Source organism: Homo sapiens, chromosome 7 (assembly GCF_000001405.40).
Source record: "Homo sapiens chromosome 7, GRCh38.p14 Primary Assembly".
NCBI lineage: Eukaryota > Metazoa > Chordata > Mammalia > Primates > Hominidae > Homo > Homo sapiens.
In genome coordinates, this window is record NC_000007.14 from 16,192,473 (window position 1) to 16,209,706 (window position 17,234).

Sequence of the window (17,234 nt, forward strand, 5' to 3'; positions counted from 1 at the left end):
GCTTAATGATTTTGACAAATACATACAACTGTATATCTGCCATGCTGATTAAAATGTAGAACATTTCCATCATCTCTCTTGCCCTTTTCCACTATTCTGATTTCTATTACCTTAGTTTTGCCTGTTCTAGAACTTCAAAGGAATAATACAAATCTTTCTTAAATGGTTTCCATCGCTGAACATGTTTGAGATTCAACTTTGTTGTCGTATGTCTGTAGATTTGTTTAACCTCCATATTTGTATTTCTGATCATCTTGAGTTTACTTTTGCATTAGGTGATAGGTAGAGATGGAAGCTCAATACCCTCTAACAAACGTTTCCAATTCTATAACAATTTGCTGAAATGACTTTCCTTTTCCTATTGAATCACCTTGACACCTTTGTCAAAAATCAGTTGTCTATATATGTGTGGGTCTATTTCTAGACTATTTTAATTCCTCTACTTATTTTTCTCACACCAATTCTACACAGTCTTGAATCTGTAGCTTTACAAGTCTTTAAATCAGTTGGTATGAGTCACCTAATTTTTTCATTCTTTTAAAAATTACAGCTATCCTACACTCTTTGCATTTCCATGCAAATTTGAAAATCAGCTTGTCATTTTCAAAAATAAATGCCTGTTGGCATTTTAATTAGACTTGCATTGAATTACAGCTCACTTGGTGGAGAACTGTTATCCTGTCAATCCATGAACATGATATACGTATCCATTTATTTAGGTGTTATTTAATTCCTCTCAATGGTATTTCATACTTTTAAGTATAGAGATCTTGAACATTTCTCTACACTTATATTCCTCTTTTATGTTTTATTATGCTACTATAAGTGAGATTGTTTACCTTTAATTTCCAATATTTGTTTGTAGTATATAAATTTTTTATATTGACCTTATATTTAAGAAAGCAATTTCTCTAAAATTAGTTAACTATGGGACTTTTTCATAAAATTCTTACTAAACACTTGTGAAATTAACATTTTACATAAATTACTTCTAAGGTAAATTTGCTTCAATAAACAAGTCTTCATTTACATTAGTGATACACTCTTGCTCTCAGTCTCCTGTAGTTTAAAAAATATAAATATTGAGATAATAATTTCACCATATTTTAAGTTTCTGCTCATATAAGCTTGGGAAGAAATCAAATAAATACTTAAGTATAAATACCATAAATATAAAAGGGATTAAATGTCAATTTTATCTGTGTGTCTGTGTGTGTGTACATATAGGTATGTATACACACACTCAGGCATATATATAAAAGTCTTTACAAATCAAAGAGACAGCACTGCTTTTGCTGAAGCGGGACAAAAATACCTCAAGGCACAACTCCTCCGTGCGCTTATCCCCTGCAGTGTAAACAGGGCCAATTCAATGGGTATTGTTTCCTTTACTTAGGCAGGATGATTTCCCTCAACTCTTAAGGAATCCAGGACTTTCCAGACCATTTCATCAGCAACCTTCTTCAACCAAATAGCTGTGACTCTCATTTTTTATACATTTTGGCTGATATCACGAAAATTGAAAACACCAATGGTGAAAGTTTACCAGGACCAGACCATTTAATACTTAACATAGAATTAAACACACTTACCTAAGACAAAAAAAATTATTTGCAAAACAGATGAAAAACTAGAGTGACAGATGAGACAAAGAGGCTTTTAAATCACATGAAGATTCCTCTGCTAGTCCCGGAGGAAACCTAATCTAGGCCTTTTAGTCCATATTGTGGGCAGGGGAGAATGTGAACTGAGATTTTAATTCATTAGACATAACACTATTGCCCTAGAACACTGAAAGATAAGGTAGCCTTATACGAGTAGATGAGACATGGTGCCATCTTTGGCTCCCTTATGACCTGAAACCTACTCTGCTTCCTCAGAGCTTTTACACACACAGATACTTTTGTTACCACTTATGTTCCAAGTTTCATACTCCCTTACTTAATATCCATATGCCTTTGTCTCTTAACTGTCCCCTAAATTTGACTATAAAGCCTCTAACAAAGTAGCATGGCAAGAAACTAAAATCTGTCAACACAAAGTTACTAAACATGTATCGGAAAAGAGAAAACCTATGGAAAGTATTTCCCTAGACCCAGAACAATCTGAGTGCCAAAGAAAGCTAACTTTGGATTTACACCTTGTATTATGTTTTATTTTGCTGTATTGCTTTAATGGTAAGATTTTTCTTACACAAACCAATTGAATTGCAGTGTATAAATTATACTCTCAATTAAGGGTCAAGATGGAAGGTAATGAAGACAAAGACCAAACTGAATGATAGAGTAGTAGGATCTATATTAATACTCTGGAAACCTGTGTGAACTTTGGAAATTATGCTCCGGTGAGTTTAAAACCTTGTTTTTGGTCTTTTGGTTTTTTTTTTTCTCTTAACATGAAGAATGTGACATTTGGATGGATATTGTTGGGAGGTGGCTTCTTGGAATCACTAGCATAAGAGAGTGGAGTGGAGACTTTTGCAGCTTGAAACAATTCCCCAGATCATTCTGATAGGTTCCTGCAATACCACCATTATTGCCTCATCCCACCAAGAATCATGGTGGTAATTTTTTTAAAAGCATGAAAAACTCTGTTTACAATGTTCTTTTTATAATATACAATTCAGAGCCCAACCCAAATCAAAGTAAACCACACAATGATGCCTTGAAGCAAAAGTAATTAAGATGTGCAGATAATTAAGGTGGGCATTATCAGAAAAGCAGTGTTACAGCTTTCTAGTTCCCTCTGGAATGTATCCCACCAAGCCAATTCTGGCAGTGAAACAAAGCAAGTGTCAAAGAACTATTCCTCCTAAAACCAAGTATTTCCATTGAGATTTTGCCTTTTTTTAAAAAGGGTTGATATTTAAGTTGACTCACTCTCTTAATACTTCACTGAAAGATCTGCCCCTCTCTTCCTCACACCACTGTAGCTGATTGAGGTAGCCCAGGAAACAATCTATCTGTAACTTAATGATACTGCAGCCAATATTAGATCTAACTGCACTGAGACAGGCATTTCCCAGAAGAGCTGGGAAGGGCCTCAGCTTCCCCCATTTAGAAGTCCTGGGAATCCTTAGCTTCCCTCTGGCCAGAAGATAGAGTCTAAGAAAGTGCAGCAATACCTGAACTAATCAAGCAACTTTAATACCTTCCTCCCCATCTCTGGGGCCAGGCTGTGGCTGCTCCATCAAAAAAAGCTTCTTTCCTTTCATATGACTTCTTCTCAAGGAATCTCATTAGAAGACTCTGATCTCCAAGTGCCCTCTCACCCCTGCACTTCCATTCTTGCCATCATGATTACAGACCATCTGCTCAGGTCCATTTCTTGCTCTGCACTCATCCAGAAGAACTGATAATAAAGACTGTCGTGTTTTCCAAGCACAACCAGGCCAGATTCCTTTGTTCCTCTGCATCCAAAGCTGAGGAAAGGCCCTGCCAACCCCCCTTCCCCACAGCATCCCATCCCCAAAAAGCCAAAGAGAGAAGATGGGACCATAAAATAATCTGGAGATTAATAGAAACAAGTTTGCTTCTTAGGATAAAGTGAAAGCTCACTAAATATTGACAGTGGAACATGGCCTTCATTTTATTTTGTACATGTATATATGTAGTATATGTGTATATACAAACATGTGTATAGAAATATAGAACATATATATGTTGTCTTTTTTACTTTAAGAAGCTCTTCTGCTAAAGCCTCACTGAGCATGTAAGCACAGTGGTGCATCTGAGGTCCTAATCTAGTTCAGTCACTTATTAGCTTATGCATGTGAAGTTAGTTGAGTTTCTGGGCCCGGGTTCCTCACTAGCATATGACAGAGCTAGCAATTCCCACTTCATGTAGCTATCCTAAAGTTTCTATAAGAGTTTATACAAAAGTGCCTGGTGCACACCGTGCTCAAAAAAATATATGTCTTCTTTCCATACTCTATGAATGGCTGATTTTCATGAATACCTTTCATTTAGCAGCTTTACTAGGCTACTTATGTGAAGAAAATAAAATATACAATCAGAAATAGTGAGGTTATCTTCGGCTAGGATGACAGAAGACACACTGTAGATACTAACAAAAGTGCATTCAAGAGAAATGTAGTGTTTCTGAGTAATGTAGCTAGCAAATTCAAAGACAAACAATGTCAGAGAACTTTTAGACTTTCTAGAACACATTATAGTATCTAGAGAAAGACACTCAGGTTTGAAACTTCAGAATTACAGGACTCACTCATAGTCTAAAACAAAAGAACCACCTTCCCTAATTAGGTGAGAAGGCCTATTTCTATCACATCAAACTTTCTGGTCCCAGGAAAGCAATAATCACTCTCAGTTTCATTTTTCCCTAAATAACCAAGATAGTGAAGCCATCTAGATCACTCTTAGAGTTTTGCTGCCGTTTCCATACTAATGTGTTTTCATAACCTAATGAGGTATATTATTTTCATACACAAAATAAGCAAACCCTGTTGATTACTCAAATGCTGACGCTCATGTTTTAGTGAAACACAACAGGTGCTTTGTTCATCTGACAACATGTTGGGAAAAACCCTTAAAAAAAGAAAAAGCTATCTACCCAAACCCAGGTCAAACAGAATAGGGTAAACATGATAAACATGGCACACCTACATCATGAATACACCAGTGTGAACCTGAAGAATGCTGGAGGGCAAGAAGGAAAACCGAGTTATGAAACCAAGCCACACACCTGGGAATCAGGGTGGAGAATGAGGACTAGGTTGATAGGGACACAATGGCTTTCCACTGTGTACAAGTATATGTGATTTAAGTTTAAAACCACGTGAATACACTTTCTCAAAAAATAAGCTAAAAAAGACAAATGTACTTGAAACCCTGAAAAGAATCAGTAAATTTTTTTCTTCTTTTTTGAGTCAGGGTCTCTTCTGTTGTCCAGGCTAGTGTGGTGGTGTAATCAATCATGGCTTACTGCAGCCTCAGATTCCTGGGCTCAAGCGATCCTCTGGCCTCAGCCTCCAGGGTAGCTGGGATGACCGGTATGCACTCCCATACTTGCGCAGCATTTTTTTTTTTTTAAGAAACGGTTTCATCATGTTGCCCTAGCTAATCTGAAACTCCTGGGCTCACGCAATCCTTCCTGCCTCTGCCTCTGCCTCTGAAAATGCTAAGCAAAAATTGGTAAATTCTTTCATCTGAATTTTATATAATATAAAGTAGTAAGAACTGTAGAACTTCCAACACATAATGACTCCATCCAAATCTCTGCACTAGAGGCAATGTGGGGAAAAGCAAGAGAGATCAGATTGTTACTGTGTCTGTGTAGAAAGAAGTAGACATAGGAGACTCCATTTTGTTATGTACTAAGAAAAATTCTTCTGCCTTGAGATTCTGTTAATCTATGACCTTACCCCCAACCCCGTGCTCTCTGAAATGTGTGCTGTGTCAACTCAGAGTTAAATGGATTAAGGGCGGTGCAGGATGTGCTTTGTTAAACAGATGCTTGAAGGCAGCATGCTCCTTAAGAGTCATCACCACTCCCTAATCTCAAGTACCCAGGGACACAAAAACTGCGGAAGGCCGCAGGGACCTCTGCCTAGGAAAGCCAGGTATTGTCCAAGGTTTCTCCCCATGTGATAGTCTGAAATATGGCCTCGTGGGAAGGGAAAGACCTGACCGTCCCCCAGCCCGACACCCGTAAAGGGTCTGTGCTGAGGAGGATTAGTAAAAGAGGAAGGAATGCCTCTTGCAGTTGAGACAAGAGGAAGGCATCTGTCTCCTGCCTGTCCCTGGGCAATGGAATGTCTCGGTATAAAACCCGATTGTATGCTCCATCTACTGAGATAGGGAAAAACCGCCTTAGGGCTGGAGGTGGGACCTGCGGGCAGCAATACTGCTTTGTAAAGCACTGAGATGTTTATATGTATGCATATCTAAAAGCACAGCACTTAATCCTTTACATTGTCTATGATGCCAAGACCTTTGTTCACGTGTTTGTCTGCTGACCCTCTCCCCACAATTGTCTTGTGACCCTGACACATCCCCCTCTTTGAGAAACACCCACAGATGATCAATAAATACTAAGGGAACTCAGAGGCTGGCGGGATCCTCCATATGCTGAACGCTGGTTCCCCGGGTCCCCTTATTTCTTTCTCTATACTTTGTCTCTGTGTCTTTTTCTTTTCCAAATCTCTCGTCCCACCTTACGAGAAACACCCACAGGTGTGTAGGGGCAACCCACCCCTACAGGATGACCGGTATGCACTCCCATACTTGCGCAGCATTTTTTTTTTTTAAGAAACGGTTTCATCATGTTGCCCTAGCTAATCTTAAACTCCTGGGCTCACGCAATCCTTCCTGCCTCTGCCTCTGCCTCTGAAAATGCTAAGCAAAAATTGGTAAATTCTTTCATCTGAATTTTATATAATATAAAGTAGTAAGAACTGTAGAACTTCCAACACATAATGACTCCATCCAAATCTCTGCACTAGAGGCAACCAAACTCCATCAGCAGAATAGGAACCTCTGTTTCCAGCCTCTCTGAGTAAACAGAATCTTAACTTCTTTGATTACCAGCTAACATACACAACTAGCCTAAACACATTCACACTGACCAACCCTTTGTAATTTTTTACTGGAGTGCTGCTCTCTCCCAGACTTCCAATACATTGAGAAGCATTGACCTGGACCCCTGACGGCTAGTTGAGGGGTCTAACTGGACCAGTGGTTCTCAACTCTGGTTGTACATTACAATCACCTGGGGATTTTAAATGTCCTCCCACCTACCCCTTCATGCTCCCTTAAAAATGATCAGTCACTTCTGCAAAACTCAGAAGGAAGCTCCACTCTTTACCCTATCAGTAGTTACTAAATAAAATCTGCTCTCTCCACTTTAATCAATGTCTGCCTTTGTTTATCTTTAATAGTAGTTAATGCCTTTCATATGTGTAAAGGTTATGTCCAAAAACCTTAATTTAAAAAAATCTGTATCAAAGAATAAAATTTTCCCAATAAAATGGATAATAAAAGAATTAAAATATCTAACTGCTTTTCACACACTATTTAGAAGAATTCTAAGTACTAACTCTGCGGGATGAGCCCTCCTCGAAAAAATTAACCCCACAGTCATTTTTTATTACCATCAAAATAAAATTCTCCTGAATCTCATTTCTATGTAGAATCTGCATGTTTCCTGTGCATATGCTCAAACCATAAGTTCACTTAAAAAAAAAATTCAGTAAAGAATTTTCTCTCACTTGAAGTATCTTTACACTGGCTAGAGAATTCACTACAGCAAATTCCTTAATGGTGTTTCTGGTTTCCAGATTTTGTGACTAACATGGACTGAAAAAAATCAGACATTCCACTCTAATTTATTCCAAAATTATTGCCTTCAGATCTGTAAGCTTTTTCTTTTTTTTTTTTTTTTTTTTGAGATGGAGTTTTGCTCTTGTCGCCCAGGCTGGGGTGCAATGGTGCGATCTCAGCTCACTGCAAGCTCTCCCTCCTGGTTTCCAGTGATTCTCCTGCCTCTGCCTGCTGAGTAGCTGGGATTAGAGACAGACAACACCACGCCCAGTTAATTTTTGTGTTTTTAGTAGAGATGGGATTTTACCATGTTGGCCAGGTTGGTCTCAAACTCCTAACCTCAGGTGATCCATCCACCTTGGCCTCCCAAAGTGCTGGAATTAAAGGCGTAAGCCACTCTGCCCGGCCAGATCTGTAGACTTCTAAAAGTGACTTTGCTTCTACGGACGTTACTGCTTTTCTCCAAAAACATAAACTTCAATCACCTCTCAGGAGTTCTTGTGCAAGAAGCAAAGTGGTTATGCTTACATACTAAGTGACTTAGTCTTCATCAAAGTGATTCCATTGGAAAACATTCTCTCACACCAGAAATTGGAAATGTTAGACTACAAACCTCAAATCTATATAGTATTTCAAAAGTTGTATTACACAAAGAGTAGTATTTATTTACAATAATAGTAACATCGACAATGATCATGTGGGAGTACTACATGCATGATCTAAATTAAACTTTCTCTGCAAGGCATTCACATCCTACAAATTCAAAACATTGGAATGACGTGACACATAAAAGTTCAATTAAAAATATATGTTGCTGCCTAATTTGATTTTTAGACATATAATTAATCAAGCTGCAGCTACCTTATAATGTTTTAATATTTTTTACAAGTCAATGAAAATCTGTTTACAAGAAATTTAAAGTCACAAAACTTCTCACAAGGCTTTTTATAAAGTGTAAACATTGTGTACATTTAAATGCTTAGTATTGTGAAAGAGTAATAAATTGGCATATCATCAATTCCCTTAAGCAACAATGCAGACCTAACAGACAATGAATTTTCACACGGTAATGTGGTGAGAAAACATGCAGAAACCTGAAACAAATATCTAATACATAGATATCAAAAACTGTTCTTGCTTAACAGTCTACCACATACACTGAATTCTTCTAATCCAAAAGGAGTCCTATTCTTGTTCATTTATGTTATTTTTTATAGAAGCATTTTTCCTTAATATTTTTGAGCTATGTCTAATAATGAAGAAAATTGCAACACACATATGAATACATAAAAATATCAACTTCACTGCAAGGAAAATAAATTAAAACAATAGTCACATATTTCACAAGATGAAAGGAGAGATCAAGGGTACACACACACACCATTTAGTTTGATTCAATTTCATAAAATATAGCATTTGAAATTTCTAAATTTGTTGCATTTACATTGAAATAAAAACATATAAGCATTGTTCACGACAGGAGACAGACAAATTCCTAGGCAGACAGGGGCAGGTCCCCAGTGAAACTCTACCTTCAAGCCAAGGACAGTCTAAAGCCTGGAAAACCAAGCTACCAGTTACAGATAGAATTCATAAACCAGAGTGAGAACCTCCATCGCAGTCTTACTCTCTCTCAATTTGTTCTTTTTGAACGATGTCTTTTAGCCAATCAAATGGTATCTTTTCCAAGCCCAACCATAAACGAAATGGCACACATTCCCCTATTCTAAGCCCATAAAAACCCTGGACTCAGCCTCACAGATGGCTACCCACTTTTGGGTCCCCTCTTGCTGTCGAGAGCTTTTCTTTCACTCAACAAATTCTACTCTCCCTTACTTTGTCTCCAGTGTCCCTGTATCTTATTCTTCTTGGGTGTGGGAAAAGAACCTGGAACTTGCCGAACCGTGGGAGTGAAAGAGTTGTAACACTCCTGCTCGCTGAGCTGCAGGGCAGTGGGAATTAAAGGGCTGTAACACTCTTGCCCACTAAACTACAGGAGCAAAACAGCTGCAACTGTATGTTGCTTGCATGTGTAAAACTTTTGAGCTCTTAAATAATTGTATTATTTGCAAATAATGACTGATTTGTTTCTTACTTTCCCATCCTTTATTCTTTTACTTCTCTTTCATCTGACTGTGCTAGTTAAAGCACCCAGTACCAGGTTGAATAGAAATGGTGATTATGGCCATTCTTTTCTTGCTCTTCAATTTAAAGGTAATGTTCCTAACACATTAAGTTTGATGTTAGATTTAGATTTTTGGTGTATAACTTTACCAAGACATTATAATTTGCTAAGAGTTTATCATGATTGGTGCTGAATTTAATCACATCTCCTCTCCAACTATAGAGATGATGTCACTAGCTTTTAATTTGAATATATGGTAAATTATTACAGTTGAATTTTTAATAATAAACTATCTCTGAATCCCTGGGATAAATCAGTTTGTACTCATGTTTATGAATGATACTAGCCTACAATTTGTAATTTATTAACTTTTACCGCTATAACTTGAACCTATAAAAACATAAATAATTTAACCACTATTCTGTTCATGTTTTACACACTTTCAGGAATACACTATCTATAGTATAAACAGAAACCAATAGAGTAGTACATTAAATGAAAAAGTACTACTACTCAAATCTATGATGTCCTTATACAGCTTATAAGTGTTTGTTCATATTTGCACATTACATACTGGTCACTCAGCAGTCACTGAGGGCCTACACTAGACCAGGCACCATTCCAGTTCTAGAAATAAAGTGATAAACCAGACAAAAACATCCTGTCTTGTTTGGCCTCCTATTCTAGATAAGGAAGTCAGACAATTAGCATGAATAAGTAAAGGATTTTGTGCCAGATTGTGTTAAATTGTTATAGAGAAAAAGCATGAAGAATGACAGGGAATACTTGAGTGAAAGATGGGCAGGTCATTTCATGCTCAATGCAAACTGAAGCACATCTGGAAAGACACGAATGTGATAAAGGAAGCCAAAGCTAAGCATTATGATGAAAACAGTATAAACAAACTATTTTTTGTGAAAAAGACAATTTTGTCAAGGCTGACAGATATGGTAGAGTAGTAGTTCTCAGCCCAATCCCTCCTAATGCAACAAAAATAAGAAATGATGTCTATGATGTGACCCACCCTTTCCTTCCTTGCCTAGGGAATATACTGGAAAAAAGATGAGACAAATGGGTATTACTATTAGTTATTTTTATTAAAATAAATCCCAAGTTTTAGAATTATTTTTAGTGTATGTAACTTACAGTATATTTCACAAGTGGTTAAAAATAACTAGGTTGGTAATATTTTAAGGGTCTTATCTAGCTGCGCTTTAAGGTCCCCTGAAAATCTGACCCTTTATAATTCCACAGTTAATTAGCAAACAAATATCCACATTTTATATAATTTGGACACAAATCTTTAGTGTCTTTATCTTACTTATTTGCTAAAGAGGAAAGCTGCCAAAAATAATAAACATAATGACCTATTGTTTGGGCGTATCCAGCATCTGTTCCCCATCCTGTGGGGAATGTGCCCCACCCTTATTCTCGTTCATGAAGTTTGGGTGGAGCTGACCTGGATCCAGGTGTGGACAAGTTAACTAGGCCTGAATGATAGAAAGAACACTCACATGGGCCACAGTAGTTGAATCTGAAAATGAAGATATATTTTACAACAGGCTTAATCAGAGTTAGAACTATGGTTTTTAGTGAAAATATTGGGATAGAGGCATTCTCTTTCCACTGAGTTTACAAAACATAAAATATAAAGTGGGAGCAGTATATTTTATAGTACATGCTTGATATTACTTAGAAAACCTCCCGAGAATAAAGAACCAAATTATTGGGTATAGATAGGGATGAGGAAGAGACTGATGAGAGAGGAAATTGCCCTTTTACCATCTGGGTTTGACAAAGCCTGAAGCCATTATCTTAGAATTTTTTCAGTTATATTTTTAAACCACTCTGTGTTGTGTTTCTGACATTTGCCATTAAGAAGTCCCAACTGATAAACCAATTAGCTCATCAATTAATTCAATTGGCTTAAAAACCACTCTGCCTGGATCCTCCTCCAGTAAATTTAGCTGAAACTGACATGCATGGCTGCATTTTAAATCATCATAAAATTTTATTCAGGAAGCAAAATACTGGAATCCATATAGCAACAAATCTACATAAAGATTTGACACACGTATTAATTCATGTTACAAAAACAAAGATCACTATATTCAAAATTTTAAGGATACTGGTTAAAAATTGAGATGAAATTTAAAAATTGCGTATCTATGTTATTTAGCAAACTGTGGTGAACATGTATTTCCTAGCTCATTAAAAATTGTCACTCTAATCACCTAAGTTATAATTTTGCAATTTACACATTTTAGTCTACATTTTCCTTTTTAAATTTTTAAATGAATTTGGCATGTTGGACAAAAAATTTTTACACACTTCCATCTACAATGTCATAAGCATCAGAAAACTATATGACAATTGAATTGAGGAAAGGTTAATCTGAATCAAATTAATATCCAAACAATATAAACCAATTAAAATTCTGAGATTTTGCAGCAATATGAGTAGGACTGGAGGCCATCATCTTAAGTGAAACAACTCAAACAGACACTCAAATACCAAGTTTTCAGTTATTAGTGGGAGCTAAATAACGTGTACACATGAACAAAGAGGGGAATGATAGACATTGGAGACTTGGAAGCAGGGAAGTGGGGTAAGGGGGAAATTGATGAGAAACGACATAATGGGCAGAATGTACACTATTCAGATGGTAGATACACTAAAAGCCAAGACTTCACCACTACACAACATACGCATGTAACAAAATTGCACTTGTTCTCCCTTAAATTTATACAACAAAAAAAACAAAACTGAGAAGGCACAGAGTCAGCAATCATTTAGCCACCATACCTAAGTCAAACTTTGGAATTTTGAGTCAAACTACAGAATTTTGAGATAATTCATTCAAGTTTAGCACCAAGTAAAACTGAAAAGTCATATAGAGATAGTTCCCTGTCTTCATAAGCTTTGATAAAGCCAAGGCATCTGTAACAGTAGAATCAAATGTAGTAACTTCTGTGACTTTCCTAAGATTTTTTAAAAATCATAACTTGGTAACGTTTTGGATTCTTACTGATTATTTTTCTTTACTGTATATTTTACATCAGAGAATTCATAATTCAAAGACCTAGAGGAGATATCTCTCCACGATTCTTAACACATATGCTTTCTTATTAAGCCCCAAATACAGACCAGCTGAAAAGATCTTTAATCTCAATGCAATATACACAGCACTTGGCAAGACAGAGGCTTGCAAACAACTGTCCCACAGGCAGCAGAAGGCAAAACAGCTATTCACCATTACTTATGTTCTTGAATTCACAACAACGGCCACATTTGCTATTGCTCAGCTAACCTCACAGGCCTGAGGAGATAATTAAACTCTAAATAACAAAAGGCATGCATTTTTAACACCCAATTAACCTGATGTAACCCTGATTTACATGACTTGAGAAAGTTACTGGTGAAGAAAATCCATGTTCTCATGATGTTGCTGGCAAAGCCTGGTGTTCTCAATTCATTAGAAAAACTGAAATTATGATATAGAAGGTACAACTGTAAAAAATACGAATGAGACTCTGAAATTATATTGGCCAGGTCACTTGTTAAAAATTACACCCCCCACACCAGTTGTGTTTATGCAGTTGCTTAAACTGGTAATTTTTAGGCTAAATACGATACCTTCATTATTAAAATTGCTACCAAAGTTCAGAAAGATTTGCCACTGAATGTTTTAATGTTTGCTCTATAATCAGCATGCTTTAGAAACCTTATGTAACCATTTTCATCTAAAAAGTCAGACTCAAGGATCATGCTTATTCCTTTCTCCATGGGCTAGAACTGGGAAGTGAGTAACTAGATTTGAGCAACTTCTTATCTAGGGGCTTTGGCTTATTTCCTCTTACTACAGTGAGAAAATTACAAGCAAATGTCTGCTAATGCTGGACTTTTTTAAACTATAAAAGAAAAAAAAAAAGATGATCCTCCCTAAAGAGCCAAAATCCTTTAATATCATCAAAACATCTTAAATACGAAGCCAGAAATTTAATAAAGGGATAAGAGAATTAAGGTGGTGAATATGGCACAATTAAATGTAAATCTTAGTAATATTTAATAAAACATATTATTCCTACTTAAAATTAAAAACCAAACAGATCAAGTCAGAATCCAAGATACCTAACCAGTAGACAAGCAAGAAATGACCTGACTCTTCACTGAAAGGCAACTAGAAATAAATAGTATAATGCAGATAGGTGTATTCTAAAACCACAAATGCATACCTTCATACATTAAAAAATTGTATGTGGCTTAAGATTTAGTGACTGGTATATTTTCACAGAAGCATATCCCCAGTGGAGGGTCAAAATATTTTTTTTGTTACCTTACTTTACAGTAAGAATGGAGCATAAGGTTGGCTCAGACCAATGATGTAAATACATACCAGTAGGTAATATATAGTTTAGTGGTCCATATTTTAATACATTTTATATTGTGCTGATTTCAGCTTGCAAGCCTATGAACAAAATTAAACTTCCTTTACTTGCGTCCTAACTTCAATACTTCTAATACAAAAGTATTTGTGGTAAACAAAAAAAAGCAGTATGTTCAATAGTGAACTTTTAGTTTCTTGTGTTTCTGAACCCCTCTTTTGAAAGATTTGTCTGTACATAAGATCTGTGGCCTAATTATTTTTATTGTGACTTAGAAAGTTTTGAGCCATAAGTACAAATTCTGAACCTTTTTTTAAAAAAGAACATAGTAAAAATTAAATGATTACAAGGTAAAATTTTAGCTGAAAAAAGTGGCAAATTCTCTGTGGTACTCTTTTTGAACACTATTTCTTTATATTCCTCCTTACAAAGTGTTTTAGAATGATACAGTGATTACAAACATACATATAAACAATGATAAAAGCATAACAATCATGAATAGTGTCTGTGTGAAACATCTGTGTTTTTCCTGTCCATTAAAATCCAGAGTCTAAAAGGAATTACTGTAGATATGTTTATTATTAAACCAACTCATTTCTAAACAGCATTAGCACATTGTCACTTTCCATTCAGTAAGAGGAAGTTTGAATCTTAATTAAAGTATACTTCCTTACCAGTTGTCAAAGGTGAGTAATGAGATGGATGAAAAACTAATAAATCTTGCTATTTTCTATAAACAAAACCAAATGCCAAACATTACACACCTTTCTGATTCTCCGTGAAGAAAGTCCTTTTATAATCCCATTGTGATCAAAATCAGAAACATTGATAGGATTCTCAGAGACTATAAACACATGACCTTATTTTGCAAACTATTCTCTTTACTGAGTGGGAAAGAAAGTAAGGGATTTTGCATATGACCAAATTCTACCACTCTTCCACTCTCATTCCTGGAAAATGGTTCTTGGACAGATAGCTCCTGATTTTGGAAATCACTTACCTTTGCTCTAAAATGATATACAGCATCTATTAGGCAATACGCTGCAAATGTTTCAAAGCATTCAGTCTTATTGTCACTGACTTAGAATGTCAAATCTTTAAAATTAGGTTGACTTCACATTTCTCCTACCTAGTTTCATTTCCTACCCTTCATGCTTTCAAGTCCTCAAGCATGAACGTGATGCTCTCCAATGGATTCCGTTAAACACTGCAATTTCACAGTTCCTTGTACAGCTGCTTATGCAGTTTGGATAATTAGTGTTGCATAAAGTGAAAACAAACAAAGATATCTCCCTCACTCACATATTATTCAAGGAAAGTCTACATAAAACTGCTGCAAGCAGGATACACACATTTTATTTCAATGCACTAAAATAATGCCATGTACATTAGAAAACACTCAGTTTTGCAAAGCCTAATTATTCAGTTTGTTCTTTTAGACTATTTGTCATGCCATTATTTCTTCACTATTTCATTACTCAAAATATCAGAAACTGGACAAAGACTAAAATCAAATCCCATTTTAAATTTTTCATTGATATAAGTAATAGAGCAGGAGTTTTACTGAGTAAATAGTTATAGGAAATCAGATCAATATCAATGAAGTATATCAGTGTTTTCCGTAAGTCCACAACATGTTTTCCTGAAGACTACCAGTAGGATTCCACTTGTCAAATTGCCTTCTTTTTGTTTCTATTCCTCTTGACTTAATATACAACTATCCCCTGGAAATACCTTTCTACAACCTCTGAGACACAGCACCTTTTGTATTACATGCTTTTACTGTATGCATCTCAACTTTCTCAATTGCAACAACACTATTTTCTAGCAATTATTTTGTAACACTGACTTCACTAACCTGAATCAAAATAATATAGCCTACCTATGCACCCCCATTAATATGATGCTTTAATTAAAACATAAAACTCATAAAGTGTCAAAAATAATTCCTTTTGTTATGACATGAGTTGGGATGGTGAGGAAGTCTCACAAAAACAAGGGATAAGGGATAATTTTTTAAAAATAACTTATACCTCTATTTTTGCCAGTTTAATATGTCTTAAGTAAAGCTCCAATCTCCTCTATTTACATACTTAACACTACTTTCATTGATTTTGCAGTGTTCTATACTGAATCTCCTTTCAAATACATGAGTTGGAAAAACAATACATTAGGTAAAAAAAATTGCAGTCTGTAATTTCATAATTTCAAGATAAAGCATTTAATTTTCTCACTTCATAAAGATCTTCTAAATTATGGTGTCTCTATGGAACCTCCCTTTATGACACACAGAAGCTGCCCTGCACCAGGTGAGAGAGCATGGCAGGCGGGGTGAACATTAGCCGTCCTCTTCTCAACTCCTCCTATACTATTGTGTGTCCCACCCTTATCAAAGAAGGCTATCTTTGGCTAATTCATCTTAAAAATTTGGTAGAACAAGGTAGAGAATAAGTGTATATCACCCATTCTTCATATGTATGCCTGGGTAATTTTGAAGGATATCATCTCCAGGTATATGAATTCCTTGAGGACTGAAACCTTGTTGGAAGTTCATACTACCCCTTAGTGGCTGGCACATTATGTTGTATATAATGACATTGGGCACTTAGAAAATAAGCTGGATGTTTGGACTTAGAATGAATAGAAAGATTTGAGTCTTTCCATGCCAATAGCATTCCCACAAACGTGGTGAACATTCCTAAAATCCACCAAATTTTCTGTGAGAAGTGTGGCAAGCACCAACCCCATGAAGTGACACAGGGCAAGAAGGGCAAGGATTTTCTGTATGCCCAGGGGAAGTGGTGTTATGACAGATAGCAGGGTGGCTCTGGTGGGCAGACTAAGCCAATTATCCAGAAAAAGCTAAAACTACAAAGAAGATTGTGCTAAGGCTTAGTGCATTAAGCCCAGACCAACCGCAGATCTAAGAGAATGCTAGCTATCAAAAGATGCAAGCATTTTGAACTGGAAGGTGGTAAGAAGAGACACGGCCAAGTAATACGGTTCTAAGTGTCTTTTTTTTTTTTTTTTTGAGACGAGTCTCGCTCTGTTGCCCAGGCTGGAGGGCAGTGGCAATCTCGGCTCACTGCAGCCTCTACTTCCCAGGGATTCAAGTGATTGTCTTGCTTCAGCCTCCCCAGTAGCTGGGATTACAGGTGCTCCCCACCACAATCGGCTAATTTTTGTACGTTTAGTAGAGACGGGGTTTCACAATGTTGGCCAGATTGGTCTCGAACTCCTGACCTCAGGTGATCTGCAAGCCTCAGCTTCCCAAAGTGTTGGGATTGCAGGCGTGAGCCATGGCGCCCAGCCCTAAGTGTCATCTTTTGTTTTATTATGAATAAAATAAAATCTTGAGTTTACATTCACACAAAAAAAGAAAGATTCACACAAAAAAAGAAAGCAAATCTAAAACACAAAATTTTAGGTTGTACCATCTGAAATACA

The 17,234-nt window shown here is 36.4% G+C and overlaps 1 protein-coding gene and 1 pseudogene across 4 annotated transcripts in view; one reads left to right on the forward strand and one right to left on the reverse strand.

Moving 5' to 3' along the window:
* CRPPA (CDP-L-ribitol pyrophosphorylase A) overlaps positions 1–17,234 on the reverse strand; it is a 334,014-nt gene that overhangs the window by 104,948 nt on the left and 211,832 nt on the right. The window lies entirely within an intron of this gene.
* On the forward strand, positions 16,443–16,811 carry RPL36AP29 (ribosomal protein L36a pseudogene 29; annotated as a pseudogene).